A 24,223-nucleotide genomic window follows, 5' to 3' on the forward strand; every position below is an offset into this window, starting at 1 on the left:
TCTTTGAAAAGTAGAATTTCGAGAATTGAAATTGCTAGTGTGTGATTCCTTAGTCAATTTTCTTTACAATTGCCTTGATTTCTTTCCTCCATGACTCATTTCTTTCTCTTCAGCTTAGAGATACTTTGTAAAGTGTGATTAGGTGTTAAGTGTGCGGATTCTAGAGCCAAGGTAACCGAATTCAAATCCCAGCCTACTAGCTGCATGATCTTAGGCATTATTACTTAACCTCTATCTGACTGTTTCTTCATCCGTCACAAGGTGGGGGTGATTATTATAAAACCTAGTCACGGGGTCACTGGTAGGATGAATGAGTAAGTAGAGATAAAGCTCCTAGCACAGTGTCTGGCACGCAGTAAACACTGCATTAAGGATCAACTTTATCTCTGTTCTTGTTGAGGGACTCCCCTGTATCTTTCACTGCATGGCTTGGCTCTTCCTGATGCTCTTTCTTTCCCAGTCTTAACTCCATGGTTTGCTCTACATCAGCGTGCCAACTTTGTTTATTTCTTGGTATAGTTTATTCAAAAGTTTTGAATCCTAAAATCTGGGTGGTGGAGAAGGAGGAGATTATTATTGACCTTCATTACATGCCTCCAAAGACCTTGGTGTAGTACGTTAAGACTGTCACTTGCCAAGTGACTCATTCATTACCCAATACTGTCACGCACTAGTCATAAGACAATTGGAAGGGACAGATGAAAAGAACAGCCATCTACTTTAATTGCTATGTTTTGGAAATAATGTATAATATTAAAACCACAACTCCAAATCATAAAGCCTAAGGTTTGGAAGAGACCGAAAATCACTCAGCCTAACCACCCAAGTGATGCTTGTGTGTATTTGCAATATTCTGTATGGAAGGTTCAGCCTCAGTTAAGTATGGTGATACTCTTATCAACTCAAGAAGCAGTTTATCTTTTAGATGGCTCGGATTCTTTGGAGGATCTTTCTAACTTTAGTCAAAATTAATATACTCACAGTTTCCATCTATTATGTATTTTCTTTTATTAATTTACTCTTGAAGTCTTATGGAATAAATGTTATGCATCTTTCCATTAAAAGCCCTCCAGATATTTGCTGACTGCTAGCATGTTTCTTCTGGAGTCCTCTCTGGATATTCCAGTCGAGCTAAATATTACTCATCTTCTCCAATGTGGATGGTCTGTTCTGAATGAGCTATGATTTCTTAATATCCTTTTAATGCTGGTCCCAAATTGAACCCAATACTCCATATATAGTTGGGTAAGCTCAAAGTAGTTACTACCTGTGTCTACTATTCTAGCTTCTAGATGGTTATACTTCTATTAGTGAACTCCAAGATCATATTAGCTTATTTTTGGTAGCTACGTCATATTTGTGAAAAATATTGTATTAATTTTGTCCAAATGACTTTTTCCGTGCCCTAAGACAGACCTAACCAGCAGCTTATTCTTTGGAGTTTCCACAGCATTTTGTATGGATTGCTATTGTAAAACAAAACCAAAAAATTTATCTACAGTTATACACTGCATCAGAACATCTTGGTCAATGGTGGACCGCATAGACAATGGTGGTCCCATAAGATTATAATACTATATTTTTACTGTACTCTTTCTATGTTTGGATATATTTAGATTCACAAATACTTATCATTGTGTTACAATTTCCTGCAGTATTCCGTACAGTAAATGTTATACAGGTTTGTAGCCATCTAGATTTGTGTAAGTATACTCTACGATGTTCACACAACAGCAAAATCACCTAAAGATGCATTTCCTAGAATGTATCCCTGTTGTTAAGTGATACATGACTGTATATTATAATATTGTGTTTCTATTCTAACTATTTTATTGTGTTCTTGCATTTGACTATGAACTCTGCATAGGTAAATTTTTCATTATTTTGTTGTAGTGGCTAATAACCCATCTGTTACTCAAAATATGTTTGTCAAATAAATGTTGAACTAATCCCTTGATAGAGCATTTTAAGGTAACTAGTTAACAAAGACCACTGCACCATAATGTCATATGAAAATTTTGATATCAGAGGCCCACAGAGATTGATAGCCCCATCTCCTTTTCTAGAGTCCTACTTATACCTAAACCATCCAGCTAAAGGTTTGTAGAACTGAGGTCTAATGGACTTCAGGAAAGGGGATTATTAAACCCAGTAGCTTAGTCAAGTGCATGCCCTATGTACGCCTCTAACTATACAACCATTGGAAGTATTATGCAAGAGTGTGGCTAGATCACTTTGCAGTCAGCACTCACCATGGCAAAGCAATCAGCTTTAGAAGACAGAGGCCATGTGCGAGCCTGTTCCAAGGAAACCTGATCCTGGAAACTTGCAGTGAATTCGGCTGCCTTGGCAGTGACATCTCATCTGGCAGCCTGGAACAGGAAAACTTATTTAGAGAACAAACATGCCTTTTAGGAGCTCGCAGTGAGTCCGATCTTAAACTGAAAACTAGGGGCCTAGGAGATTATGGTTCTGTTTATGTTGTTTGTGTTTTACATATGCTGCGTATCCTCCCTTAAGTGGTCTTTGGTTAATACATATTCCTGGCTAACAGTTGCTGTATTGAACACAGAGGAACAGACACACCTCTAGACCTTCATTCTTCTGGATTTTGCAAACCCGATAGTCAATTTCCAGCTCAGCTTTGATAGTAATATTTCCAAATGATAAGGAACAGGAAATGTCGCAACAAGTTCTCCTGACAATGAGGTCCTGTGTGCCTAGGTTTTGTAGAACATACTGAAAAAGTAGGTGGCCATGTCTTTGATATGCTTTCCAAGGTGCATCCAACTACAGTCTCCTTCCTTTCTGCCCAGTAATTCCCATCAGTGAACTTAGGCCCAAAATCAATAAAGCTGTTTTTTATAAACTATTATTAAAGGGCATTTCCACTACCTGAGAAGGAAGGGAAGACGTTCTAGCTCACCCTTATTAGCACCGTAGGAGGCACTCGTGAATCAATACCTGAAAATGTACAAGTCCCAGACAATCAGTGCTCAGAGCGAGAGCGGGCAGTGGCTGAACTTGGCCCCAGGCCCACCTATGAAGCCTCCCGAAGACACTGAACAGCCTGATGCAGAGAATGCCAAGTACTGGAGGGGCGGATGCAAAGGTTCCAGACCAAGCTCAAGGGTGTTCCAGTGCGCTGGCCAGCATCTTAGGGAGGAAGGGGTAAAGGAAGGAAAAGAAGCCTAGATTCACCTACAATTTGATCTGTGAGGAGTGTTGTTTATGAGCGGCATCCTTTGCAAATATAGCTTTGGAGGGAAAACAAATGCATGCTATAAATTTCCAGTAACATCCTGCCTGAGGTAGACTCAGTCACTCTGTAAGACCCCACTGTGCAGACAGGGAAAAGAGACATAACTGCAGCTGATTCTGCAAACAGTGGCCACAGTGTCCTACCAAGATGACAGAACAGAGGTCACAGCCACCCTCTAAAGGGCCTCGGGTCTGGCACCCACCCCCTCGCCACCGCCTTCTTGCCAAACTCATAAACACCCAAGCTGGAAAAAGCTGACAATGTATCTTCCTCTCCCACCCCTGTTGGAACTTTCTTGGATGAACCACTTCATAAACTTTCCCCCTCATGCAGAGGAAGACTTCTTATATTTTTTTTCTCTTACTTTAGGAAATTTGAACAAAATATTTTTTTCAGGTAAAATATACAAATATTTATTTTTAAATATTTGCATGTCAAAATACACTCAGGCCCAGAAAGTACTCTTAATGGGAGACTCATCAGATCTTGGTATTGAAGGCTCTGTGTTTTGGCAGGTTTTATTTATGGTTATAGAAAAAAAAAAGGAGTAACTGAAAATGAAAATGGTTGAATAGACTGCCCCACAATTTACCAATTTCTTTCTTTTATTTTCTTTTTGCTCTGGGCCTGAGACCAGCATGGAAAAGTTTTAGCTTCTAAATAGACTCTTTCAGGAAGATTTGTATGCTGATGAAGATGGTGTAAAGAAAAGTAGTGTACCACCCTAACTTGAGCTTTTTTTTTTGAGACAGAGTCTCACTCTGTTGCTCAGGCTGGAGTGCAGTTGTGCTTTCTTGGCTCACTGCAACCTCCACCTCTTGGGTTCAAGCGATTCTTTTGCCTCAGACTCCTGAGTAACTGGGATTACAGGCACCCACCACCATGCCCGGCTAATTTTTGTAGTTTTAGTTGAGATGGGGTTTCATCATGTTGGCCAGGCTGGTCTCGAACTCCTGACCTCAAGTGATCCGCCCACCTGGGCCTCTCAAAGTGCTGGGATTACAGGCATGAGCCGCTGCGCCCAGGCACTTGTGCTTTGATTAACATTATTTTCCTGTGAAACAAATTAAAGTGATCAATGAGCTCCAGGGATTCATTTTTAATTAAATCATGAAGCAGCTGGCATTCATGGCCTCTTGGCAGGTAGTCCAGCCTGGGCTTGCTGACTGGAGGAATGAGAGTGGGGAACTTACCAGCTGTCTAAGCGTCTTGGTTCCAGGTAAATGATACTTATCAGGCTGTTGAAGAATTTAGGGAGCACACCTGATAGATAAATCTGCACACAGCTTTATTGAATTACTCTTTTCTTGCTCTGTTTCAGAAAACTGTATGAGAATATAAATCCAAACTTTTCACATAAACTTTTATCGCTTTTAGGTTTGTTCAGAAAGATTGTCCTTGAACTGAAATGAACACATCAAAACTGCTCAGCTTCTCTGAATGGGAAGTATTGAGAAATGATCTTTAAACTTTGCGGTGAATCAGATTTATTTATGGAACTTTTTAAAAATGAAGCAGCCCAGGCTTAAAACTTGGTATGAAAACCAGCCTTGAGAGTAAAATACCCAGTTCCTCCAAACTCCTAGTTCCTCTGCGTTACTTATCCTACCGCGTGGTGACTCACATACAAACAATATACAGATGTTCTTTGAACCTGGATTTCAAAAGATCCGTATTCAGAAAGAATTCTCAATCACATTCACCATATTCCTAATAGACTCCAAAAGTTCTCAGAGTTTTCTTTTTCCCAATCCTGCTGATCTCTGAGTCAACATGGAGCGCCCTTGTTAAAATTTTATTTTAATTTGGCATTGCTTTATTTTGCGTAATCATTGTCTAAGTAAAAGTCTATCTGCTTCTGACTTTTCAGAAAGAGATAATTTTATAGAAAGTGTTATTTATTTCCTATCTGTTCAACATGAGTAAATGTATGAGGACATTAAGATTCTTTCGAACACAATTATTAGCATATTACACAAGTTGAAAGGGATTGGTGATTTTCCACCCCAAAGCGACTTCCTGTAGTTTCAAATGTAACTTTCCTGTAACTAGGGAAGCATGAGCTATTTTTAAGCTTTCTTTTTTTTTTTAAATAGTGATTAAAAAGCTAGTATTCTCTATAAAGGATTTTCTTTGAAGAGCATGTGATTCCTAAGAATCTCAATTAGTTGGTCACCAGAAAGGACAGGGAAGGCTTTATAGCTAGCAGACTTTTCTAAGGTTTCATTTTACAATTCAGGAGCTCTGTGTTCTAATACCACTCAACTGTCAAGAGATGCTGTAGGTGGAATAAAGCAGGGAAATAAAAGAGATGAAACAGCTGGCATATGTTAGCCAGCTTTAAGAGCTCCAAAATTACCCGGTATTCTAGAAAATTATGACGTGCGTGATCATTCTCTCTGGGAGAGAAGCTGCTGCAGAAAGCAAACAGTGACGTAGTATGCAACAAAGGGGCATCTGTGTGGCACCCTGAAGAAAAATATCAAATTACCCCCACATCTAGACAGTCTGGGTAAGGTTATCATCTTCTAATAAACGTAAAATTCTAGTTCTTCTAAGATATGCTCCTGGCCCCATTCCAATTACTGTATGACCTTGGAGAAATGTCTTTTGAAGTGTTTCTGTGTCTGTAAAACCTGGATAATAATACTGTCTGTCCCAGATGGTTGGAATTGTATGAATTAATTAGTTCAAGCTGGAAAGGTCTTTGATAATGTTAAGTGCTGAATATTGTTATTATTATAGATACAGGTGGAGGCAGTGCTGCACAGCACATCTATAATTAGAAAGGCCTAGAAACTGAAAGTCGTGCCAACACCGCGGGAGTTAAGGAGACAATACCTTGTGTCATTTTCTCCCGAGACTCAGTCAGCTTGCTATGATGGAATACTTAATTCGCTCTTATCCTCTTCGAAAGGTTGAAGCTTGTCTTGGACTTGCCAACCAAGCAACATAGTTTTTACCGGGTGTATGTGCTTTTTCAGGCAGTGTTTTGAATGAAGTGCTGACATTTATTAGAACACAGGATACAGTCTTGGGTTTACAACGCTTGTTAATTGTTCTGAGTCAAGAGACCAAGAAATTCCATTACCAGAAACACCTGTCATCTGAAAAAAATGCAGATTTTTTTTTTTTTTTTTTTTTTTTTTTTTTTTTTTTTTGGAGACAGGGTCTCACTCTCTTGCCCAGGCTGACATGTGGTGGAACAATCATAGCTCGCTGCAGCCTCAAACTCCTGGGCTCAAGTGATCCTCCTTCTTCGGCCTCTCAAGTACTCTCAGGACTACAGATGCACACCACCATATCCAGCTAATTTTTTTTTTATTGTTTTTGTAGAAATGGGGTTCTTGCTTTGTTGGCCAGGCTGGCATCAAACTCCTTGCCTCAAGCTGTCCTCCTTCCCTGGCCTCACAAAAGCACTGGGCTTACAGGTGTGAGCCACCACACCTGGCCAGAAATGTTCTTGAGCTATAAAATGAAGAAGAGATCTAACCTTCTTTTAGAGATTAAAAGGCTTTCTTTTTTCATAAACAAACTGCAAAGTGTTATGTGGAATCAAAATACATAAAACAGGCTGGGCGCGGTGGCTCACACCTGTAATTGCAGCACTTTGGGTGGATCACCTGAGGTCAGGAGTTCGAGACCAGGCTGACCAATACGGTGAAACCCTGTCTCTCCTAAAATTACAAAAATTACACAGGCGTGGTGGCGTGCGCCTGTAGCCCCATCTACTTGGGAGACTGAGACAGGAGAATTGCTTGAACCCGGGAGCTGGAGGTTGCAGTGAGCTGAGATCACGGCACTGCACTCCAGCTTGGGGAACAGAGCAAGACTCTATCTCAAATAAACAACAACAACAAAACAAGAACAACGTAACATAGGTTAAAAACTGAGCTGTGCTGAATAAAAGGAAAAAGGGAAAGATTTTCCTTGAGTTTGTAATAACCCTGAGGAATGTTGTCAGAATCTAAGGCTCCCCTGAGCCCACTGGACCATACCATGTCTAAACCAATTTTTAATACCTCATTTTTTGAGTATTCTAAATACCAGCAACATTAAAAACCTGCACTGCTGGGCTCTTCTGGAAGATATAGTTTATGCAGACTGACAATTTATTTCATATGCTATCTCCTCTGGAAAACCTTCTCTGACCATCTCGTCTCGTCTTACAAGTTCAACTATTGGTGAAAGTCACACAGCACTCCAATTTACCATTTCAAATTCCTTTGTTATCTTCTTCTCTATCATCATCATAGCAAATATTTATGAAATACTTATGTGCCAAGCATGGTATTATCTCATTTAATCCTCTCAACACTACCATGGGATAGTTATAATATTATTCATATTTTAGAGATGAGAATATTCAACACAGAGATGTAAAAGAATTGACCACCTAGGAAATGGTGAAGACAAAAGGTAAACCCCAAAGAGCTTGACTCAAATCTTCTTGGGCAATAGCAAAACCCAAGATCATCTTGTTTATCACTCAGTATAGAGTAACTGCCTATGTGTTTACTTGTCTTTCTCCAAAACCAGACCTGTCGGTTTCTTGAGAGGAGGAACTCTGTTATGCTCACGGCTACATCACTGTGACCTCACACAGCACCTAACACACAGTAGTTCTTCTTTTTTTCCCCATAGGGTTTGGGGGAACAGGTGGTGTTTGGTTACATGAGTAAGCTCTTTAGTTGTGATTTGTGAGATTTTGGTGCACCCATCACCCAAGCAATATACACTATATCCGATGTGTAGTCTTTTATCCCTCATTCCCCCTTCTACCCTTTTTCTCAAGTCCCCAAAGTCCATTGTATCATTCTTAACGCCTTTGCATCCTCATACCTTAGCTCCCAGTTATGAGTGAGAACATACTATGTTTGGTTTTCCATTCCTGAGTTATTTCACTTAGACTAATGGTCTCCATTTCCATCCAGGTTGCTGCAAATGCCGTTATTTCATTCCTTTTTTTTTTTTTTTTTTTTTTTTGAGACGGAGTCTTGCTCTGTCACCCACGCTGGAGTGCAGTGGCATGATCTCGGCTCACTGCAAGCTCCGCTTCCCGGGTTCACACCATTCTCCTGCCTCAGCCTCCCGAGTAGCTGGGACTACAGGGGCCCGCCACCACGCCCGGGTAATTTTTTTATTTTTAGTAGAGACAGGGTTTCACTGTTAGCCAGGATGGCCTCGATCTCCTGACCTCATGATCCGCCTGCCTCGGCCTCCCAAAGTGCTGGGATTACAGGCGTGAGCCACCACGCCCGGCCTATTTCATTCCTTTTTATGGCTGAATAGTATTCCATGGTATATGTATATATATATATATATATATATATATATATATATACCACAATTTCTTTATCCACTCATTGATAGCAATCACACTCCTGGGATTGATAGTAGCTGTGTGGATTAATACTGGGTATCTGCCCAGAGGAAAAGAAGTCATCATATGAAAACAATACTTGCACACAGAGTAGTTCTTAATAATTGTTAAATTATCAAACTGGCAGCATGTTTCCTTCAAAGGATAAAACAATTTGCCTATGGTTATTCAAAAGAGTAAAATATTAAATAAATTAGAGTTATGGTTGAATACAGTTTAAAATGATGAAAAAATTTGAAAAGTAATTTCTAAAAGAAAACACTAATCTTTGAACATTTGGGATGAGGCTACTTTGGTGGCCAAGCCTAAATTCTTATTCCGCCCAAGAAAGTCAAATTGACACAACATTTGGGAAAGGTATTCAGCAATTCCACTTCTGCAAGTTTATCTTATAAATAATTCAGAAAACAAAATAAATAAAATTATTGTGTAGAAATATATTTATTACAACATTGTTATAACAAATAATTGGAAATAGCCTAAATATTTAAAAAATAATTAAAAGATTTTTGAATGGTCAACAATCAGAAGAAGAACCTTATGATAATTTTTTTTTTTTTTTTTTGAGACAGAGTCTCGCTTTGTCGCCCAGGCTGGAGTGCAGTGGCGCGATCTCAGCTCACTGTAAGCTCCGCCTCCCGGGTTCACACCCTTTATGATAATATTTTATAGAAACTTCAAAATTATGTATGAAAATATATTTTAATAACTTGTAGATATAGTTAAATCACAGTACTGCATTAAGTAAAAGAAGGAAAATACAATCCTACATTACATAGGATTAAATGTATTTAATGTACGTATTAAATGCATTTCCCTAACTATTGTTAGCAAAGCAAAAGAAAAAAACCGAAGAATAATCTCCAAAGGGTAACATGGGTTAGCTCTGGTTGATGAGTAGTTTTTGCTTTCCCCCCCTTAAACATTTCTGCATTTTAAATTTTTCTACAAGAACATGTCGTGATCAGATGAAAAATAAACTGTGGTTTTTTTTAAGTGTTATTAAAGAGCAGCCATCTGGTATCACAAGATCAGTTAGGTTAGATTTAGGAAACTCATATGAAATTAAAAAAAACCTTTAGAGGAGCAAACTTGGTTGTTTAATTCCTAGAGGCAAATTGCATGCCACTGTGTGTCACATAGTGTATCACGTACACACAGTCAGTTCCCCAAGTATCAGGAGTTAAGAAGATGCATTTATTGAAATAAGAATTGATATGATGTCCATGTTACTCTTATTTTATTCTACAATTGTTTCTGCTAATATTGGAAGTTTTTGGCTGGGCGTGGTGGCTCACACCTGTTATCCCAGCACTTTGGGAGTCCAAGGTGGGCAGATCACTTGAGGTCAAGAGTTCAAGACCAGCCTGGCCAACATGGTGAAACCCCATCTCTACTAAAAATACAAAAAATTAGCCAGGCGGGGTGGCATGTGCCTGTAGTCCCAGCTACTCAGGAGGCTGAGACAGGAGAATTGCCTGAACCCAGGAGGCGGAGGTTGCAATGAGCTGAGATCATACCACTGCACTGCAGCCTGGACAACAGAGCAAGACTCTGTCTCAAAAAACAAACAAAAAATTTTTGAATTTGGGTGGTGAGGTAAATATCTGGGCTCGTGAACATATTAAATGCATAATTGTTGCTTATAATTTCATTTATCTCTCTTCAGTCAGATTAAATATGACCTACTATGTTGCCAGACACAGTGCTAGATGCTTTTTCACTGTATCTCATAATTCAACTCACATAACAACTTTTTCCAGCCAGTTTTAATGTCCACACTTGACAGATGAGGAAACTAACTTTCAGAGAAGTGATCATTCCAAATTCAAGTTGTTTGTTGGGCTATGAATGCTGATCTTCAGCACCTGAGAAACTTTCGATAGTATCAGAAGTAGACCATTTATCCTATTAGAAAACTAAAAAGCAACAAACATATTTATTTAAAAAATTTACAAATGATAAAAAATTAATAATAAAAACAATTCTCATTTTTAAAGTTGGAATAGTCTCTAGGGCTTAGTAACTGGAAAAACAATAACTGAATCTCCATCCAAAATTATGTTCTCATAGCCAGATGTGATGCCACACACCTGTAGTCCCAGCTACTCAGGAGGCTGAGGTGGGAGGATCACTGAACCCCAGGACTTTGAGGCTGCGGTGAGCTATGATTGTACCACTGGCGCTCCAACCTGGGCAACAAAACAAGACCCTGTCTCTAAATAAATAAATAAATAAGTAAATAAAATTATTGTTTCCTATCTGTTTTTTATTTCTATCATATCAGTTCCTTCTATAGAGTTTGATGATTGGCACATACTGTAATGTGTGAGCAAATCGCATAGTCTTATGGCACAAGGCGTGCCCAACATAGAATTCTTCTAGACTGTATTCAAACCTACATAAAAAGAAATGAATACAAACAAGCCATGCATGCACAACCAGAAACATATAATTTCACTAATCCATAGCCACTAGGACTTGTCAAAACCAAGCTGGTCTATGTGTGAATGTGTGTGTGTGTCTGCAAATTTTAAGGAACATGTGTATGATGAGGTTAGAAGCCACCATTCAAAAATCTCTTTTGAAAGACATACGCAGCTGGGCGTGGTGACTCACGCTTGTAGTCCCAGCACTTTGGCAGGCTGGGGTGGGTGGATCACGAGGTCAGGAGATCGAGACCATGGTGAAACCCTGTCTCTACTAAAAATATTTTTTAAAAAAATTAGCCGGGCTTGGTGGTGGGCGCCTGTAGTCCCAGCTACTGGGAGAGGCTGAGGCGGAAGAATGGCATAAACCCGGGAGGCGGAGCTTGCAGTGAGCTGAGAGCACGCCACTGCACTCCAGCCTGGGTGACAGAGCGAGACTCCGTCTTAAAAAAAAAAAAAAAAAAGAAAGAAAGACATACATGCAGCCAACAAATATATGAACAAATCCTCAACATCACTAATCATCAGAGAAATGCAAATCAAAACCACAATGAGATATCATCTGACATTAGTCAGGATGACTATTGTTAAAAAGATTTAAAAAAACAGATGTTCATTATATCGAAAAGATAATTACATACGTATGGTTATCACAGCACAATGCATAGTTGCAAAGATATGGAACCAAGCTAAGTGCCCATCAATTGATGAGTAGATAAAGAAAATGTGGCATATATACACTGTGGAATACTACTCACACTACCTGGCCATAAAAAAGAAAGAAGTAATATCTTTTATGGCAACTTGGATGGAGCTGGAGGCTAGTATTCCAAGTGAAGTAACTCGGGAATGGAAAACCAAATACCATATACTCTTGGTTATAAGTAGGAGCTAAGCTATAGGTAGGCAAAGGGACATAGGGTGGTATAATGGCCCTTGGAGACTCAGAAGTGGGGAGAGTGAAAGGGGATTGAGGGATATTGGACACAACGTACACTACTCAGGTGATGGCCGCACTAAAACTCAGAATTCAGCACTATGCAATTCATCCGTGCAACCAAAAACCACTTGTACCCCAAAAGCTATTGCATTGTGTATATATATATACGTATATATATGTACATATATATACGTATATATATACGTATATATATATATATACGTATATATATATACGTATATATATACATATATATACGTGTATATATATACGTATATATATGTATATATATACGTATATATATATACGTATATATATATAGTGTGTGTGTGTGTGTGTGTATGTATATATCTAAAACACAACGGATGTTGATGAGGCTGTGGAGAAAAGGGAGCACTTATACAATTTTGGTAGGAATATAAATTAGTTAATCCACTGTGGATAACAGTAAGAAGTTTGGATATTTATTTCTTTTCCCTTTTTTTTTTTTTGAGACAGAGTCTTACTCTGTTGCCCAGGCTGGAGTGCAGTGGCATGATCTCGGTTCACTGCAATCTCCGCCTCCTGGGTTCAAGCAATTATCTTGCCTCAGCCTCCTGAGTAACTGAGATTACCACACTTGGCTAATTTTTGTATTTTAGTGGAAATGGGGTTTCATCATGTTGGCCAGGCTAGTCTTGAATTCCTGATCTCAGGTGATTCACTCGCCTCAGCCTTCCAAAGTGCTGAGATTACAGGTGTGAGTCACTCACTGTGCCTAGCCTACAGTTTGGAGATTTCTTAAAGAACTTGAAATATAACTACCATTCAACCCAGTAATCCCACTGCTGGGTATATATCCAAAGGAAAATAAATCATTCTACAAAAAAGACACAGGCACTCATATATTCATCACAGCACCATTCACAATAGCAAAGATATGGAACCAACCTGGATGCCCATCAACGATAGACTATGTAAAGAAAATTGGTACATGTACACTATGGAATACTACACAGCCATAAAAAGGAATGAAATTATGTCATTTGCAGCAATGTGGATGCAGCTGGAGGCCATTGTCCTAAGCAAATTAAAGCAGGAACAGAAAACCAAATACCACGTATCCTCATTTATAAGTGGGAGCTGCACACATTGAATATACATGGACATAAAGATGGCAAAGTTAGACAGTGGTGGCTACTAGAGGAGGGAGGGTTGGAAAACTACATATTAGGTACTCTTCTCACTACCTGGGTAATGGGACCATTCATACACCAACCCTCAGTGACATGCAATTTACCCATGTAACAAACCTGCATGTGTACCCCCAGAAGCTAAAATAAAAGTTGAAAAAAATCTCTTTGGAACCCCTTACAAGAGAATGAATGAAAGACGAAAGAATATCTAGCCTTTTTCTAATAAGCCGGGTAAATCTATTTTGACATGATTTTACAATAGCTGTCCCTCTTTGTAGCGACATCTGGGGCTTACAATAGCCTCAGTATTGTTCTATAAATGGCATTTTAAAAAGGAAACATCTCCCCTGTAGGGTGTAAGTTCTTCAAAGGCAAACCATGTTTATGTATGCTGTATTTGCAACACTTAGCACTGTGTTTGATAAATGGTTTACTTTTTTAACTGTTGGAGCGGATTTTTTTTTTTTTTTTTTTTTTTTTGAGATGGAGTTTCACTCCTCTCGCCTAGGCTGGAGTGCAATGGCGGCTCGGCTCACCGCAACCTCCGCCTCCCAGATGCAAGAGATTCTCCTGCCTTAGCCTCCCAAGAAGCTGGGATTACAGGCACCCGCCACCACGCCTAGCTAATTTTTGTATTTTTAGTGGAGACGGGGTTTTGCCATGTTGGCCAGGCTGGTTTAGAACTCCTGACCTCAGGTGATCCAGCTGTGTCAGCCTCCCAAAATGCTGGGATTACAGGCGTGAGCCACTGCACCCAGCCTGGATATATTTTTTAAAAAGAAAAGTATATCTAGTTTTTTAAAAACATTAATTCACTCAATAGTCACATCTAAACAGACATATACTATCTATGCAGATTGTAGGCACGCTGTATACAGGTTAGATGAAAATTCTTTGGCATTACTGTTCAAATAAAAATATAAGACAAGCTGGTAATGAGAGCAATATATGTAATTTTAAAATTTCTGTCTTTCTTTTTTTTCTTTTCTTTTTTTTTTGAGGCTGTCTTGCTCTGTCATTCAGGCTGGTGTGCAATGGCATGGTCTCAGCCCACTGCAACCTCCACCTCCCAGGTTCAAGCGATTCTCATGCCTCAGGGTCTCAGAGTTATAGGTGTGCCCCACCACACCCTGCTAATTTTTGTGTTTTTAGTACAGACGGGTTTTTGCTATGTTGACCAGGCTGGTCTCAAACTCCTGACCTCAAGTGGTCCGGCTACCTCGGCCTCCCAAAGTGTTGAGTTTACAGGCATGAGCCACCGCGTCTGGCCAATATATATAATTGTAAAGTGTCTAATAATGGCATTTAAAAAGTACAAATACAGAGATCTAATTAGTTTTAGTAATATATTTTATTTAGCCTCATCCATCCAAAGTATTATTTAACAATGTAATCAACATAAAAATTATTCTTATTTGTGGAGGTATTTTCTCTTTTTCTGGGATACTATGTCTTCAAAATCCATTGTGTATTTTATACTTATAGCTCATCTGAATAAGGACTAGCCTTATTTCAAGTAAGCAGGAGTCACATGTGATTGGTGGCTGCTGTATTCACAGCGCAGCTTGATAGCAATTTAGCTTCAGGACTTTTGTTTTTGTTTTTGAAATGAACTAAATTGCCAAACCTACATGTAATATACCAGATACACTCATGTCCTTAATGTTATTTGATTTGTTTCTTTAGGACGAACAACCTATTTTATTCACTTTGTTTATATAAAAAGTATTATTCTTAAATATGTACTATGCACATATGATAAAACATTTCACAACATTAAATGGTAGGAAATATAAAAAGGAGTGTCCTTTCATTGCGTCTCCAAGCCCAGTCCCCTGAGGTAACCACTATCACATAAAATGCAGATTTTTTCCACATATATATGAGATATGTATATCTTTTTTAAGTATCAATGAGGATATAACTTACTTTTCATAGTCCTGATAAAATACCAACAAAAACTTTGCTATGTGCATAAGATTATATAGGATATCTTCATGTGTCAATTCTTTTTTTCTTTTTTTTTTTTTTTTTGAGGTAGAGTCTTACGCTGTCACCCAAGCTGGAGTGCAATGGCACAATCTCGGCTCACTGCAACCTCCACCTCCCGGGTTCAAGTGATTCTCCTGCCTCAGCCCCCCGAGCAGCTGGGATTACAAGCGTGTGCCACCACACCGGGCTAATTTTTGTATTTTTAGTAGAGACGGGGTTTCACCATGTTGACCAGGCTGGTCTCGAACTCCTGACCTCAGGTGATCCGACCGCCTTGGCCTCCCAAAGTACTGGGATTACAGGCGTGAGCCACTGCGCCTGGCCCTTGTAAATTCTTTACTAGCAATGAGGAAAGAAAAAGCAAAAGTAAGTATCTGGGATCTTAAATTTGATACTATTTTTAGACACTGATTTTGTAGGATCCAATATTTTGATATTCATAGAAATAACCAGTGGCCATAAGTTCTGTAATATCAAATGAAGTAGCACTCTTCTATGAACTATACACTTTACATTCATTATATGGTTTCTTTTTTTACTTATTTCCTCAATCAGTCAGTCAACGAACATTCGAGATCCTGTCATGTGTCAGACACTGTGCGGAGAGCTGGAGATAAAACTGTCAACAAGATGAATGCAGCCTCTAAAATAAAGAGTTTCTAATCCAGTGGATTCTCTGTTCATGCTTCTTGCACTTTCTCTACACTTTGCTCTATCAAAAAAAAAAAAATTCAAAACACTCACGAGTTTGTTGACCTTAAAGTGGAATCAGCTGATACAAATTAAAAGCATTTTGCATTTCAAAAAGTGATAAAGTCTAATAAATAGCTCACTAATGGTGAAATTTCAGAGACATTTATTTTAGGCTGGGGTCTTCCTAATTCAGAAAAAATCAGTCCAGTTTCCCTATTTTACATCCAAACTCCTCAAATGACCAATCTCTATTCTCTCTCTTTTTTATTTTTTGGATGAGTCTCTCACTCTGTCGCCCAGGCTGGAGTGTAGTGGCACAGTCTCGGCTCCCTGCAACCTCCACCTCCCCAGTTCAAGCGATTCTTCTGCCTCAGCCTCCCGAGTAGCTGGGACTACAGGTATGCATCATGATGCCCAGCTAATTTTTGTATTTTTAGTAGAGATTGGGTTTCACCATGTTGACCAGGCTGGTCTCAAACTCCTGACCTCAAGTGATCCACCCACCTAGGCTTCCCAAAGTGTTGGGATTACAAGCGTGAGCCACTGCTCCAGGCCCCAATCTATTCTCTCTAACTGCTTTTATTTCCTGGCCTAGAGCTCCCTACCATTCCACTGAAACGGATTTAATAACACAAATAGCATTATCACTAAGTCCGAAGATATTTCATTAGAACTTCTCTTCCATTATTTTATGGCATTTTAAATTTTTAAAATCACTCCTTCTGCATTGAAAAACTATCATACTGAGGTTTGACGCCATAATTTGTTTAGCTCCCCTCCCACTTCTCTGTGGAATCATTTTTTTTCTCCTTTAAAAGCTTTTCTTCTTTTGATCTCCTAATTGTGTGAGTTCTTCAGGCTACTACTTGAGCAATTAAGCCCATATTTAAAATTGTCACTGATGATCCATTATTTATAGCTTACCAACGTGTGTTTTATGGAACACTGTTCCCACAAGACCACATTGAAAAACAATCAAGAACCCTGGCAAACATTTCTCCTTTGCCTGCACATTCTACAGAGATCATAAAAATAAATATTCTTTCTCCTGATCATACTTCCAGACAGAGTGAACATATGATACAATTCTGACCAACAAGGCATAACTGAAGTCTGTTGACCCTTCGCTTTTCTTACTGCTTTCAACACGAACTCAAAGCAGGAACCGTGGTAGATAATTTGCAATTTTGAAGGATGGGCTAAATGAATTGCAGGGTCATCAGCCTCCACGCTGCACTGAACATAGGTCAGCAACCACTTACCTCCTGAGTTCTCACTACGTAAGATGAAGAAATCTTTATTTGTTTGGACTTCCGTAGTCAGGCAATTTATACCTCGCACCAGAACATACTCTTAATTAGATATAAAAATGCTACATACTATATGTCCTTCTTGGAGCTTCAGAACGCACATTAGAAAAATTAGAGAACTGAGAAATTCCCAAGAGAAGAAACCTGTGGAATTCTGCTGAATTTGTCATCTCCTAAATTTATTTGATCAGGCAGCCCTTTTCTTCTTTCTGTACTGAACTACCAATGTCTCACAGAACTATGGCTCTCTAGCTTTTTGCTTTTCAAAGTGTAATTTCTAGACCAGCAGTATCTGCATTGTCTGGAAACTTCTTAGAAAACCCAAATATTAGGCCCCATCCTGGAAGCAGAGTTACATTTTAACAGGATCTTCAGTTGGTTTGTATGACACTAAAGACTGAGAAGTGCCGCTTGGGAAACACTGATTTAGAGAATAAAGTACAACTAACCTTAATATCCTTATGTGGCCTATGATTTCAAGGGCCTCTATATCATTACTGTCCCTTAATGCCTACTTCACAAGTCAACACACCTAGTTCTTATTGAATGCTTACTTTGTGCGAGGCACTATGCCAAGTGCTATAGTTTTATAATTCTCAAAGCACCCCTATGAGGCAGGTACTATTGTAATCGTTACCTTGTAGATGAGATAGCTAGGGCTCAGAGAAGTTAAGTTGCCTACCCAACGTCACATAGCCATTAAGTGGCAGAATCCTTGGCTTAAGGATTTAAGGATCACTCAACTATATTGGCTTTCTAAGCTTTTGTTCCCAAGCACTTTCCTGCTCTGTGTACTTAACACACATGATTCCCTCTGCCTGCAATATCTCCCCACGTACACCTTCTTAAAAGGTCTCAGCTCAAAAAGTCAGTTGTTCTGGGAAGCTTTTCTGATCTCCTACCCCAAAGCCAGGTCAGATCCTCCTGGTAAACATTCCCCAGGCACATATCTTTACTTCATACATATCAGCTTTTATAATTATGTATATTTTGTGATTCTATGATTAGTGTATGTGTTTACCAAAAAACTAAGCTCCGTGTGGGCTTTAACTGTATCCTCTGTGCCTGACACACAGTTGACACACAAATATTTTTTAGAGTATCTTTTTTTTTTTTTTTCTTGAGATGGCTTCTCGCTTTGTTGGCCAGGTCGGAGTGCAGGTTGGCACGATCTCAGCTCACTACAACCTCTGCTTCCTGGGTTTAAGCAATTCTCCTGCCTCAGCCTCCCGAGTAGCTGGGATTACAGGCTCACACCACCACGCCCAGCTAATTTTTGTATTTTTAGTAGAGATGGGTTTTCATCATGTTGGCCAGGCTGGTCTCAGACTCCTGGCCTCAAGTGGTCCACCTGCCTCAGCCTCCCAGAGTGCTGGGATTACAGGCGTGAGCCACCGTGCCCAGCCTTTTGGAGTATCTTTTACTCTCATTTGAAACGTTCTCTCCCTATTCTGCACCAATCCAAGTTCTACCCAGAAGAAGCTATAGGATGGTGGCAAGATATTTGATTTAGCATCAGAAGACTTGGATTTGAGGCCTTGTTCCCCTACTTTGTAACTTGGAGCAGTCACAAAAACTCAGACCCACTGATTCTCAGCTCTGTTAAATGGACATAATAATAACCTCACAGGATTGGCATAAGAATTAAAATGAGCCCTGTGAGAGAAGTGTATAACCTACATAAACTTCCTAAAAATACGAGTAGCGTTTTGTAGTGATTAAGATCCTGGGTTGTGCTTAAAAGTTTCCACTCTGTAATCCAAAACCTGAGTTCAAATCCCAACTCATAATATTTATTGTCTCTGCGGTTGATTCGGCAATCCATTATTTGCTGGATTTTGTCATGTGTTTTGCCAATTGCATTCATAATTTATTATGCATTTATGCTTGTATCTCCTAAGTCATGGTATATAATCCATGCTTTTTATGTTTTGTCTGACATAAGCTCTTATCAGAGCCCTTTGCACACAGGGATTCAATAAATATTAACACAGTCTACATTTATTTGGTGAATATTGCATATCTGCTGTACTGAAAGCACATTAAGTAACAAAGGCAAGTGAGAAGAATGAAAAGCACTACTCACAACAGTTATCATGATTGCGCATGGATATGTTCAGAATGAGTATTTTTCAAATCACTTTAAACAAAGCTGAATTGCAGAAACGAAAGCCCAACAGCAGCAATTAAATTACATTTGGAATAAAATCATTTGGCCTAATTTTCATAACCACAGATTTCAGAGAATACCACCACCCATGCCAGGTGTACCAGACAATCCCATTGTCTGTTTTAGCCGTGTAGGGGCCGCTGTAGTATACACCATTCAGGTTTGCAGAGTGACACCTAGTGGAAGGGAGAAAAAAAAAGAAAACAACAATCAGACTGGAAAAATATTGTTCAGAATCCCTTTTATTTTGCTACAAATGCTCAAAATTTTTGAACTATGAATTCTGCCATTTTTCAGACAAGTAAATATTTACTAGTTTCCAAAAGCTGAGAAATTTCTACAACAGATGGCTATTGTATTTTATTTTTTATTTTTTAATTTTTTTTTAATAATAGAGACAGTGTCTCACTGTGTTGCCCTGGCTGGTCTCCAACTCCTGAGCTCAAGCAATCCTCCTGCCTCAGCCTTCCAAACTGCTGGGATAACAGGTGTGAGCCACTGCGCCTGGCCTCAGAGATGGGTATTTTAAAATGGTGAGTTTTACTGCCATTACAAATCTGAAAATACAACCCAGGCCACTCACAGTGCATTGAAAAATAAGCATTTCAATTTTTGATTTTCTTTAAACAAAAAATTAAAACAAGCAAACAAAAACGCATCCTTGTAACCTCCAGCCTTACAACCTCCTGACTCAGAACAGTGTTAATTTCATACTTAACAAGAGCTAAGGTGAGTGTCAGCAAAGCAAGTCGTGGGCAAGGTGCTCTACTACTGGCTTTCCTGGATAATTTGCACTCACACGTTCATTCCTCTGCTGCTAAGACTTAGCTTTCATAATTCAAACTCCGTATGTCCCCTTCTTTAAATTGCTAGCCTATCAGTTATTTCAATCTCAAGGGTAAGCAAACAAACCTAAATCACCATTTAAAGTTTTGCCACCCATCAACCAATAATCATTTTTTCCTAGTTGCTGAGTTAATTTTTTACATATATTGCACCAATCTAGATAAGCTGGTTAGGTTATCGACAATATAAAAATGTTTCTTTCCTCCTTTGGAGTCTGTAAATTTTGTCCTTGATATGTATAATTTACATGTAACAGTATGCAATAAGTTTATGTGTGTTGTTATGAAATTAATTGCCATATACTTCTTTATTGATAAAATTAATGAAAAGATGTCAGAATTAGGATAGAAGGAGAACATTCACAAGAGGTAGTTCTGAACATCTATGGAAAAACCCAAATTATTGAATCAAAAAAGCATATAATCTACCCGTAAAGGCTGAGTGGCTGGCTTGAATCACTTATCAGCTTAATGATTCACTCCTACTGAGCGTTCTCGAAGTCCTCCTAACTTAAATGGACGTAATTAATTGAAAATATGTATGTCAAGTCTGCAAATGTCAAAGCCTACTGTGTTTTTAAAACAGCATGGAAAGTAATGTTAAAAAAAGAAAATACTGTAAATTGAGTCTCCAGAATATATATTTTGGCATATATTTGTCTATCTAGAGACATCTGCTAACTATATTTTTATATTTGGTCTATCATTTGAATCCCATTAGGAAACTGACTCTGTGATGAACATAAGAAACCTTCACTATTCTGAGACCAGTTTTCTAGCATCGTTTAGTTTTTAGAACAGCCTGGATTTGAAACTAGGTTAGGGGATGATTGGGTCTTCCTTGGTGAAGAAGTGGCTGTGAACACTCACGTGAAATGCTACACTAACAAAGAAAAGACATCAACTCGCAGTGATTGGTTTGCTATGTGGAAAAAAACATTTTATAGGTGGGTAATATTTATGAAGTGCCAACATTTCATGTAAATTAGAAGAACTATGGGACAGAAAAAAAGCAACAGTAAGAAGGAAGAAAAGATGATAGTCGAACTCACTGATAGTAGGCATGGTAGAAGTAGCACCAAGTTTCTAAAACAATCTACTTTCTCTCCCTTAATGCCTACTGATTTTCCAATTGCACAGCCTTATCAACCCCTTTGATTCCAAGGATAATGTGGGCTCTGTGGCAGGCTCCACCTAATGAATGGCCTTTCTTTGTGCTCCCTGAACCCATTTCTTTAAAGTCAGGTAAATCGTTCCTTTGCCCACATTAATATACATGGTAGTTTTCATTCAGATGCCTTAGAAGCCAGTCAGCTGGATAAAGTACATGGTTTTGATCTCAGGATACTATTAGTAATTATTTCTGTATATGGAATTGTTTTCAAAATCAAACATTGGTGATGCTTGCAGATGACTTCATGAATTACACGTTAAGTTTTATGTCATGCTGACTTAGAAGAACAAGGGGGAAAGAAAGGAGTAGGAACAGGTGAAGAAGACGGTTTTTAAAATAACAGGAAAACCACTAAGGAAAACACCATCATCACCTTCAATTTGCAAAGCAGGAGAGTGAAATTTGTTTCTCTCCTTCACACTGCTGGAAATACTCCAGTTCCTTTATAAATGATCAAATCTTAAATGGACTCAAATGTTTTTTTAAAAAAGCAAAATATAGAAAAGATGACTATTTTTACAACAGCAGTAGTACTCCCTTATCTGCAGGGGATACGTTCTAAGACCCCTAGTGGATGCCTGAAACTACAGATAATACCAAATTCTATATATTGATACTATGCTTTTTCAGTCTGATAACCGAAACAGCTACGAAGTGAGTAACGAGCAGATAAAGAAAATAAAATTTACCAAACTGAAAGACATGATATAGATTCAAAAGAACCACTGAGTACCCACTGCAGTAAACCAAAAGAAGACCACGACAGTGTATGTCACTGTAAAATTTCAGAACGCTAGGGGGAAAAATCTTTTGGGTGTAGGAAGGAAAAAAACCATCTATAGTAGTTCTCTGTTTTTTCCTATAATATACATACCTATGACAAAGTTAATTTATAAATTAGACACAGTAAGAGATTAACAACAACTAATAATAAAAGATTATGATTATATAACAATATGTCAGCATTACAGCTCTTGTGCTTTGGGACCATTATTAAATCAAATAAGCATGATTCGAACACGAGCACTATGAAACTCCAACACTGGATCTGATAACTCAGACTTCTACTAAGTGTCTTGGGGCAGGGAGGGCTTTCAGCGTGGATACGCTAGACAGAGGGGTGACCCACCTCCTGGGCAGAAAGAATCCAATGGTGCGAATCTCTGCTCAGAATGACATGCAATTTAAAACTTATGAATTCGGCAGGGTGCGGTGGCTCACGCCCAACACTTTGGGAGGCCGGGGTAGGTGGATCACATGAGGCCAGGAGTTCGAGACCTGCCTGGGCAACATGGCAAAACCCCATCTCTACCAAAAATGCAAAAATTAGCCCATGTACCCCAGAAATATATAAAATATTTTGTATCAGTAAAAAAAGAAGCAACTATATACAATCAAAAACGGAATGAATTTGCTGATAAAGTAACATGAATGTATTCAGTCAGAGGGTAGAATTAGGTTTCTGGATTATTGTAAAGGAAATTTCTGTATTGGGAGAGGCTTAGACTCAATGAATTAATGAAAGCCATAGTGATTGAAAAGTAGTACTATACAGAAGCATTACAGCAATAACGGTGGCTCTTTTGTGTGATATGGTCAGGTGAAGAACTAGTTGGTTATTAGGATGCCAAATAGTCTCCATATATATACATGCTCTCTCTTTCTTTGTGTGAATTTGTGGCCTTCTATTTATAACTCATCCATAATTCAGTTTGCAAATGATCTTTGTAAAAGTAATAATTTATTTCTATGACATTTACACTTTACTAATGTACACAATGAACAAATCCTCAAAACGACTTCATTGCTGAAGAATTCTAATGAGAATGATTACTTAATAATACTAATATTATAAATAAAGACTAACATTACCATACATATTATATTGATAATTAATGTCTATCAGTGAGATATCATCAACTCCATTACAACTATGCTCATAAGACATCAAACCTGTTAAACCACCAGCCAGACTGATCTTCTTCTGCGCAGTTCCCTTCATAGTTGTCATGATCTCTGTCCCACGTGCTGAATTTCATTCTTTGGTGACTAGCCCACCACTGCACCTCAGGATGAAAATTCCCCGCAAGGGAATCTCCAGCTGTTCCAGAATATTCCCCAATATTCAACTCGTAGAAATTCTAAAGAAAAAGGGCATTTCTGCTGTCAGTGGAGTTCCTCTATGACCATTTTAAAATTAAGTTTATTTCATAAACAAAAGAACAGGTTCTATTGTATATTTTTATTTCCACTGACTCCAGGGTTATATTGCACATTTTAAGCATTTATTCACGGTTTTACTTCTTAGAAAATTGTAGTACCTTTTCATCTCCAACTTTGAAATTCTTATATTGTGCATAACGGCTATTTTTTTCAAAATCTGCAAGGTCGATTTTTAAAGTGTAGTCTTCTAAAAAAGAAACAAGCAATTATAATTTTTAAAAATGTGTGACATGACACGGACTACTGCGGTTTAAAAATAATTCACAGCTCTATTTTAATTTTACCATTTCCCTTGGCCAAGAATCAGTTTTCAAAGATTAAACAGTGACTCCTTTGTATATATAACATGAACATTTTATCGTGTAATTTATTTGAAAAAAAATGATGGATACAATATTAAATTTAAAAAATGTCTACTAGATCTCTTAGAGGTAAAACCTAGTGCAATTCACTGAATAATGAACAACAGAAAAAATAAGTGATTACTTAAAGCAATCTAACAATGAAAGGGTCGACGTTTTACCTTTAATAGTTTGACCTCTTTTTCTTGATTTCAGTAAGAATGTTGATCTTGAATATAAATGGTGGCTATTAATGACATTGTGTAATCTCTAGTAGCTGAGCCAC

General features: G+C 38.4%; 1 protein-coding gene and 1 long non-coding RNA gene across 6 annotated transcripts in view; one reads left to right on the forward strand and one right to left on the reverse strand.

Moving 5' to 3' along the window:
• Positions 1–15,246: 15,246 nt before the first annotated feature.
• On the forward strand, positions 15,247–15,848 carry LOC124901893 (uncharacterized). Its single transcript, XR_007060835.1, has 2 exons — positions 15,247–15,547; positions 15,737–15,848. It is a non-coding gene; the product is annotated as an uncharacterized LOC124901893 (long non-coding RNA).
• A 3,319-nt stretch (positions 15,849–19,167) lies between these two features.
• The window catches only part of FGL1 (fibrinogen like 1), a 31,150-nt gene continuing 26,094 nt past the window's right edge, over positions 19,168–24,223 (reverse strand). For 3 of the 5 annotated variants that reach the window (NM_201552.1, NM_147203.2, NM_201553.1), the window contains 3 exons: positions 23,695–23,783; positions 23,327–23,514; positions 19,170–19,530 (listed from right to left, as the gene is read on the reverse strand). In NM_201552.1, the coding sequence (NP_963846.1) occupies positions 19,371–19,530; positions 23,327–23,514; positions 23,695–23,783 (437 nt within the window). In that variant the 3' untranslated portion in view covers positions 19,170–19,370. Of the gene's footprint in view, positions 19,531–23,326; positions 23,515–23,694; positions 23,784–24,223 lie in introns of all 5 variants that reach the window. The other 2 variants (XM_047421577.1, NM_004467.4) reach the window with 1 other exon arrangement.

This window comes from Homo sapiens, chromosome 8 (assembly GCF_000001405.40).
Source record: "Homo sapiens chromosome 8, GRCh38.p14 Primary Assembly".
NCBI classification, from domain to species: Eukaryota; Metazoa; Chordata; class Mammalia; order Primates; family Hominidae; genus Homo; species Homo sapiens.